This window comes from Homo sapiens, chromosome 9 (assembly GCF_000001405.40).
Source record: "Homo sapiens chromosome 9, GRCh38.p14 Primary Assembly".
In the NCBI taxonomy this organism is placed as follows: Eukaryota; Metazoa; Chordata; class Mammalia; order Primates; family Hominidae; genus Homo; species Homo sapiens.
In genome coordinates, this window is record NC_000009.12 from 85368771 (window position 1) to 85377479 (window position 8709).

An 8709-nucleotide genomic window follows, 5' to 3' on the forward strand; every position below is an offset into this window, starting at 1 on the left:
TTTGCTGAATCTTAAATTCTATGAATGAGGACAATCCTGCTTCTTTCCAAATGTACTTAAGGACAAAGACGTGTTCCTGGGCCCATTTTTAAAGCCCTAACAAAAAATCTCTCCATGAAGAGGCAGGCAGATGGACTCCAGAGCAGTCCTGGCCCTGTATTCAGAGTGGCCACAGATCTCATGGCCACAGCTGACTCTCAGTTCTGACATCCATGAATCCTGAATGTGTGATGTGATCCTCCAGTGCTAATTGGAGCACTAAGGCTATGCTTCTCATGTGTGAGGGCCTTGGTCCCTGGAAGGACTGAATTTGGGAGCAGAGACTTCCCTTGTTTACCTAACTCCAGTACTCCTTCATTTTGCAATTCTCTTCCTCCCACACAACACCTGTCTCACCCTCAAGAATCCTAACCACCCTTACCCACACTTTTAGGTGGTGTTTAGTGCAGAGGTGCCAACCATATGCTCTTCCTCATCCGCTGATGGTTCTACTCCTGAGACAATGGGAAGCATGTGAGGAAAAGATTGGCAAAGTTTGGGAAAGTGAGGTGCATCCGCATTCACTGGGACCCCCTCTCATGTCCAGTCTCCCAATGTCCCCACCCAAAAGAGCTTGAATATTTATCTAATTGTATATTAGATTGTCATCTAATGAAATTGTGTTTTCAAACCCTGTATAATTTAAACACATCTATTTCATTTGGGGCTTTTCAAAATATTATTTCCCATTTCTGAAAATATTCATGAATTTAATTTGAAAAAAATACAAAACCTTGGAAAGATTCCTTGAGAAACTTTGATTATTTTAAAGTTCCAATTCCACAAAGTGAAAAAGCAAACAATCTGACAGCAACTAAATGCACTGAGGGGGGGCGGGGAACAAGACAATTATTGCATTCGAAAAGGCAATTTGAAACATTTTCACAGATAATAGATACCATAAATCTTTGTCTGATCCACTAACAAATATTTTTTCAGATAATGAACAGCTGATTTTTATATCTAAAACCCCCAAATTCCTATTTTATTCTTACAGTTCACATAGATTGATCAAAGTTGACTGCTTGATAAAGCCAATGGAATTTCCCATGATTTTTGTGCACTTTAGTTTCTAGTGCTGACATTGAGAGAAACCAGGGAAAGTTCTTTGGTCCTGGAGCAAATTTTTTTTGACTTTTATTTTAGGTACATGTGCAGGTTTGCTGTGTTGGTAAACCATGTGTCATGGAGCTTTGGTATACAGATTATTTCATCACCCAGGTAATAAGCAAAGTGCCTGATAGGTATTCTGTCTGCTCCTCTCTGTCCTCCCACTCTCAACCCTCAAGTATGCCCCAGTGTCCATTGTTCCCCTTTATGTGTCCATGTGTTCTCATTGTTTATCTCTGTGTTAGTCGTGGTTCTCTAGAGGGACAGAATTAATAGGATAGATATATATTTAAAAGGGAGTTTATTAAGTAGTATTAACTCATACAATCACAAGATCCTACAATAGGCCATCTGCAAGCTGAGGAGCAAGGAAGCCAGTCCAAGTGCCAACGCTGAAGAACTTGGAGTTCGATGTTTAAGGACAGGAAGCATCCAGCACGGGAGAAAGATGTAGGCTGGGAGGCTAGGCCAGTGTAGCCTTTTCACGTTTTTCTGCCTGCTTTATATTTGCTAGCAGCTGATTAGATGGTGCCCACCCAGAATAAGGGTAGGTCTGCCTTCCTCAGCCCACTGACTCAAATGTTAATCTCCTTTGGCAACACCCTCACAGACACACCCAAGATCAATGCTTTGCATCCCTCAATCCAATCAAGTTGCCACTCAGTATTAACCATCACAAGTCTGCCCCTTGTCAACTTGAACCCATACACGTCTCCTGAGATCACACATAATCTTCAAATAAAGACAATAATAAGGTCATAATTACACCTAACATAATACAACTATCCTTCGTACAACCGGAAATGCACCAATCCTCAACCCAAATACTATTACAGAAAGTTAACAGTACTTAAATGCTGATGTGAAGTCAATAAATCTTATGTCACATGATAAAGGAAAAAGGAAATAAAATGAAGATGTTTTCTTAGTACAAGTGTATACATGCACAAACATGTTTTTAACAAAAGAAGGAGGAAATACTCATGACAATTACAGTCCTCATTTCTGCAGCTGGTCCCCTGGTTATAGCTGGTATTAATGACTACCTTCTTCTACTACTCATTCTGTATTCCCTTTGCTGTCAGCAAGCACCTCAGCAGGTCATAGCTTTTTTCCTGGTGGAGTGAACTAAACCTTCATTCCTGAAGGGCCTGGGTCATTTGTAGTCCTGACCAGATTGGGCTGTTGTAGTTTCCCATTAACCTTAATCACAGGTCATGGTAATACTAAGAGACACCGTAATGGATCTCCTGTATTCCATACATACTCTTCCTTCCCTCCATTGTGGAATAGTAGACTGATTTCATCTTCACAGTCCAGGTCAATCACCACAGCCAATGCTGTAACTCCCTTCTTAGCTTGTTGACTTAAATGTAGGAGGAGCCCACAGTGTCCAGGTGGCAATCTTAACTTCCAGTTTAATGGCATTGTCATGTCTCCTGGTGGCAGCATTCCTCCCTCTAGAACTAAGACCTTTAGGCCAGCAGAACGTAATGTAGAGGGAACAGGAAGCAAAAATTTTGCTAACGAATCACTAGGGGTGTTGGTGAGTGGTGCCACTTCCACTTCCACCCCTTGATTCCTGGATCTGTGAATCCTGCCTATGGCAGATTCAGTACCATATATTGGACGCTGATTCAGAGTATACACAACCTTTGGGAGAACTTTGCCGCAGCCATGCAAAGTATTATCATCTAGTTGGCATTGTAATTGATCGTAATTGTAACTTCAAATGGCCATTCCACCATTCTATCAATCCAGCTGCTTCAGGATGATGGGGAACATGGTAAGACAAGTGACTTCCATGAGCATGAACTCACTGCCACACTTCTTTAGCTGTAAAGTGAGTTTCTTGTTCAGAGGCAGTGCTGCGTGGAATACCATGACAGTGGATAAGGCGTTCTGTGAGTCCATGGATGGTAGTCTTGGCAGAAGCACTGCATGCAGGATAGGCAAACCCATATCTGGAGTAAGTGTTTATTGCAGTGAGGACAAACCTCTGCCCTTTCCATGATGGAAGAGGTCCAATATAATCAACCTGCTACCAGGTAGCTGGCTGATGACCCCGAGGAATGGTGCCATATCAAAGTCTCAGTGTTGGTCTCTGCTGCTGGCAAATTGGGCACTCAGCAGTGGCCGTAGCCAGGTCAGCCTTGGTGAGTGGAAGTCCATGTTGCTAAGCCCATGCATAACCTCCACCCCTGCCACCATGGCCACTTTATTCATGGGCCCAGTGGGCGATGACAGGAGTAGCTGGGGAAAGAGGCTGAGTGGTGTCCACAAAATGGGTCATCCTATCCACTTGATTATTGAAATCCTCCTCTGCAGAGGTCATCTGTCAGTGAGCACTCACATAGGATACAAATATCTTCACAGCTTTTAACAACTCAGAGAGGTCCATCCACATACCTCTTCCCCAACATTCTTTGTCACCAATTCTCCAATCATGCTACTTCCAAGTCCCTGACCATCCAGCCAAACCATTGGCTACAGCCCATAAGTCAGTATGTAATTGCACATCTGGCCATTTCTCCTTCCATGCAAAGTGCACAACAAGGTGTACTGCTCGAAGTTCTGCCCACTGGGAAGATTTCCTTTCACGCTGTCCTCCAGGGATATCCTAGAAAGGGACTGTAGTGCCACAGCTGTCCACTTTCAGGTGGTGCCTGCATATCGTGCAGAACCATCTGTGAACCAGGCCCTAGTCTTCTCTTCCTCTGTCAACTGATCATAGGGAACTCCCTATGAGGCCATTGGTGCAGGCTGGAGGAGAGAAGGTAGGGTGGCAGGAGTGGAGATCATGGGCATTTGAGCCACTTCCTTATGTAACTTACTTGGCCTTCAGGATCTGCTTAAGCCCAATCACGTATATACCACTTCCATTTGATGATGGAATGCTGCTGTGCATGACCCACTTTATGGCTAGATGGGTCAGAAAGCACCCAGTTCATGATAGGCAGTTCAGGTTGCATGGTGACTTGATGATCCATAGTCAAACTTTCAGTTTCCACCAAAGCCCAGTAACAGGCCAAGAGCTGTCTCTGAAAAGAAGAGTAATTATCTGCTGAAGATGGCAGGGCCTTACTCCAAAATCCTAGAGGCTTCTGCTGTTATTCACCAATGGGGGCCTACCAGAGGCTCCAAACAGTATCCCTATCTGCCACTGACACCTCAAGCACCACTGGATCTGCTGGGTCATATGGCCCAAGTGGTAGAGCAGCTTGCACAGCAGCCTGGACCTGTTGCAGAGCCTTCTCCTGTTGTGGACCCCATTCAAAACTGGCAGCCTTTCAGGTCACTCAATAAATGGGCCAGAGTAACACACCCAAATGAGGAATGTGCTGCCTTCAAAATCCAAATAGGCCCACTAGGCTTTGTGCCTCTTTCTTGGTTTGGGAGGGACCTAATGCAGCAAGTTATCCTTCACCTTAGAAAGAATATCTCAACAGGCCCCACACCACTAGACCCCTAGAAATTTTACTGAGGTAGAAGATCCCTGAATTTTAGTCAGATTTATTTCCCATCCTCTGGCACACAGATGGCTCACCAATAAGTCCAGTGTGTTTGCTACTTCTTGCTCACTGGATCCAATTAGCATAATGTCATCAATGTAATGAACCAGTGTGATATCTTGTGGAAGCGAAAAGTGATCAAGTTCTCTCCAAATGAGATTATAACACAAAGTCGGAGAGTTGATATGCCCCCAAGGTAGAATGGTAAAGGTATATGGTTGACCTTGCCAGCTGAAGGCAAATTGTTTCTTGAGGGCCTTATGGACAGGAATGGAGAAAAAGACATTTACCAAGTAAATGGCTGCATACCAGGTACCAGAAGATGTGTTAATTTGCTCAAGCAATGAAATCACATTTGGTACAGCAGCTGCAATTGGAGTCACCCCTTGGGTAAGCTTATGATAATCCACTGCCATTCTCCAAGATCCATCATTCTTCTGCACAGGCCAAATAGGAGAGTTGAACAGGGATATGGTGGGAATCACCACCTTTGCATCTTTCAAGTCCTTGGTGGTGGCACTAATCTCCACAATCCCTCCAGGGACACAATATTGTTTTTGGTTTACTATTTTTCTAGGTAGAGACAGCTCTAATGGCTTCCATTTGGCCTTTCTCACCATAACAGCCCTCACCCTACCAGTCAGGGTGCCAATGTGGGGGTTCTGCCAGCTTCGAAGTATGTCTATGCTAATTATGCATTCTGGCACTGGGGAAATGACCACAGGATGAGTCCGGGGACCCACTGGACGCACTGTAAGTTAGACCTGAGCTAAAACTCCATTAATTACCTGACCTCCATAAGCCCCTACTTTAACTGAAGAACCACAATAATGTTTTGGGTCCCCTGGAATCAATGTTAGCTCAGAGTCAGTGTCCAGTAGTCCCTGAAATGTCTGATCATTTCCCTTTCCCTAATGCACAGTTACCCTGGTAAAAGGCCAGCAGTCTCCTTGGGGAAGAATGGGAGAAAGATTAACAGCATAAATTGTCAGTAGTGTAATGGAGTCCTTCCTCAAGGGGACCCAGCCGCTCCTTCATTCAAGGGGTTCTGTTGTAAACTGGCTCAAGTCTGGAAAATGAATGAGGGGTCATGATTCTCTGTTTTTATAATTCAAATTAGTCTTTTGTCCATTTGACCTGGAAGTTTTCTGCTTATATAAATTAAGTCGGAATTCAGCAGACTTCCTATCAATTTCACTTCTAGGAATACCATGATTAATTAGCCAATGCCAGAGCTCTACACGAGTCAGACTATTCTGATTGCTGCTTTGCCTCTGCTGTCCATTACAGTAGCTATGCCCACCTTGCCTTTGATGGTTGAGTGCCACCACTTGGCCCCTGCCAACTCAGGATCCAATTATCCCCATTGTATTTATATGTTGTAGTTGAGCAACTATGATTTCCATTGTTAGATCTGACATACAGAGAAGAGCAATTACAGGGCTCTTCAAAAATGCAGGTGCTGCCCTCACAAATCTATTTCATGAGGCATTGGTCAAGAGTATATCTTCTGGACCCCCCAAGCTGGGATGAGTAGGTCTAAAGTGACTAATCCACTCCACCATCCCAATCTCCCTAAGCCTTTGGATCCCTTCCTCTATATTAAACCGAGGGAGATCAGGCATTTCCCGCTTGCTCACAATGGGCCATCTTTTAATCCATATTTCAGCTAACCAAGTAAATAAACTATTAGAACCATTTTTGACCACCTGAGCTGCAACATTAGAAGCAAAATCCCTACTTAGTCGGCCCAAATCAATAAATTCAGCTGATCCAACTCTGTTCCTTCCACTGTTATCCCACACACTTAATATCCATTCCCATGCCTATTCTCCAGATTTCTGTTCATATAAATTAGAAAATTCAAGCAGTTCTTTTCGAGTGTAGTGCACCTCCTCACGAGTCACACTCTGAACCTCACCTCTAGGGGCTCGCCAGGACTTTAGTCTAGTTACAGGTCTAGAAGCAAACAGGGGTGTTGGGGGTGGCTCCTGAGGAGAATCAATATTATCTTGCCTGGTAACTACCTCAGAGGAGGCCATCACAATTGCCTCAGGCAGCTCAGGGTTTATCTCCTCAGATAAAGCTGGAAAGGCTGATGGCAGCATGGATCAGGAAAGGGATTTTGCCACCACTGGCGATGGGGAAGCTGTTTCTTCTGGCAAGAAAGTTTCATCAGAGTTTAGAGGTTCCGTGTCCCCAGCTTCGTCAGGGTCCTCCCACACTTCCCTATTCCCAGTTGCAGGGTCCCATTCTTTTCCAGTCAATGCCCTCACTTTAACAGTAGACACCTAGGCTGGGTGTGGTGGCTCATGCCTGTAATCCCAGCACTTTGGGAGGCCAAGGCAGGTGGATCATGAGATCAGAAGTTCGAGACCAGCCTGGCCAAAATGGTGAAACCCCATCTCTACTAAAAATACAAAAATTTGCTGGATGAGGTGGCGGGCGCCGGTAATCCCAGTTACTCAGGAGGCTGAGGTAGGAGAATTACTTGAACCTGGGAGGCGGAGCGTGCAGTGAGCCCGGATCACACCACTGCACTCCAGCCTGGGCAACAGAGCGAGACTCCATCTCAAAAAAAAAAAAAAAAAAATACCTGGTGAGGCTGTGCATGCACCTTTCATTGCAGGTCAGCTACTCGCATGATAAGAGCTTGTGTCTGATTTTCCACAGCTTCAGCTTTTTCTCTAAAGGAGATAAGACTGACTCAGGGCAATCTTAGATGAGTTGAGGCTAAGTATCTGCTTCACAAACCAGGAGTTAGAATCACTGAGTTCATCATTTTCTTTCATCACTTTTTCCAGTGAACTTAGGAGCAACCAACCAGCTTCATTATGTTTCTTGGTTCTCCACATATGGTCAAAGGTGTTATGTATAGAGTTATTAAACTCCTTGCCTCTCGCGAGCTGTGAACCGGGAGTGTCAAATGCATTTATTTTGCATAACTCTCTAAACAGTTCATGCCAAGGACTATCAGTGTTCTCCACACTATTAGAAGTAGAGTTGTTAGCATTTTTGGGTCTAATCATATTCAACAGCCAACTCCAGAAACCCCAAAACCAACGAAAGAACTCCATCCTTAATATTCTGTTCCTCTAGAACCCCTCCTGGTACCAAAGCCTGTATTAGTCAAGGTTTTTTAGAGGGACAGCACTAATAGGATATATATATCCTATATATGAATGAGAGTTTATTAAGTAGTATTAACTCACACAGTCACAAGGTCTCACAATAGGCCTTCTGCAAGCTGAGGAGCAAGGAAATCAGTCCGGGTGCCAAAGCTGAAGAACTTGGAGTCTGATGTTCAAGGGCAGGAAGCATCCAGCACAGGAGAAAGATGTAGGCTGAGAGGCTAAACCAGTGTAGCCTTTTCATATTTTTCTGCCTGCTTTATATTCACTGGCAACTGATTAGATGTTGCCCACCCAGATTGAGGGTGGGTCTGCCTTCCTCAGCCCTGTGACTCAAATGTTAATCTCCTTTGGCAACACCCTTACAGACACACCTAAGATCAATACTTGGCATCTTTCAATCCAATCAAGTTGACGCTCAGTATTAACCATCACAAGCTCCCACTTGTAAGTGGTATTTGGTTGCCTGTTCCTGCATTAGTTTGCTTAGGATAATGGCCTCCAGCTCCGTCTGTGTCATTGCAAAGGACATATCTCATTCCTTTTTATGACTGCATAGCATTCTATGGAGTATATGTACCACATGTTCTTCATCCAGTCTACTGTTGATGGATATTAGAAAAGCTTTTCTTTCTATTGTTCTTCCACTACATTTTCCCTTTGCCCTATCTTTGTCAATGAATGGGAGGTTATCTTTAGACTATCTTACTTGAGGGGCCATAGCCCAGTTGTGGTTCACATTGCTAGCAGATTTGCTTTTCAAAGCAATTCATATCTGAGGACTGGTTTACATCCACAAGATGCTGGACTATGGCACAGCCATTTAAATAAGCAAAATGGATCTCACCAAACCCTATTCAACCCTGTTGATTTACAGCACTCATGACAATGACAGAGATGCTCACATTTTCTAGGAC

General features: G+C 44.1%; 1 pseudogene; it reads right to left on the minus strand.

Moving 5' to 3' along the window:
- Positions 1-2139: 2139 nt before the first annotated feature.
- LOC107987089 (uncharacterized) lies at positions 2140-5638 on the minus strand (annotated as a pseudogene).
- Positions 5639-8709: the final 3071 nt, after the last annotated feature.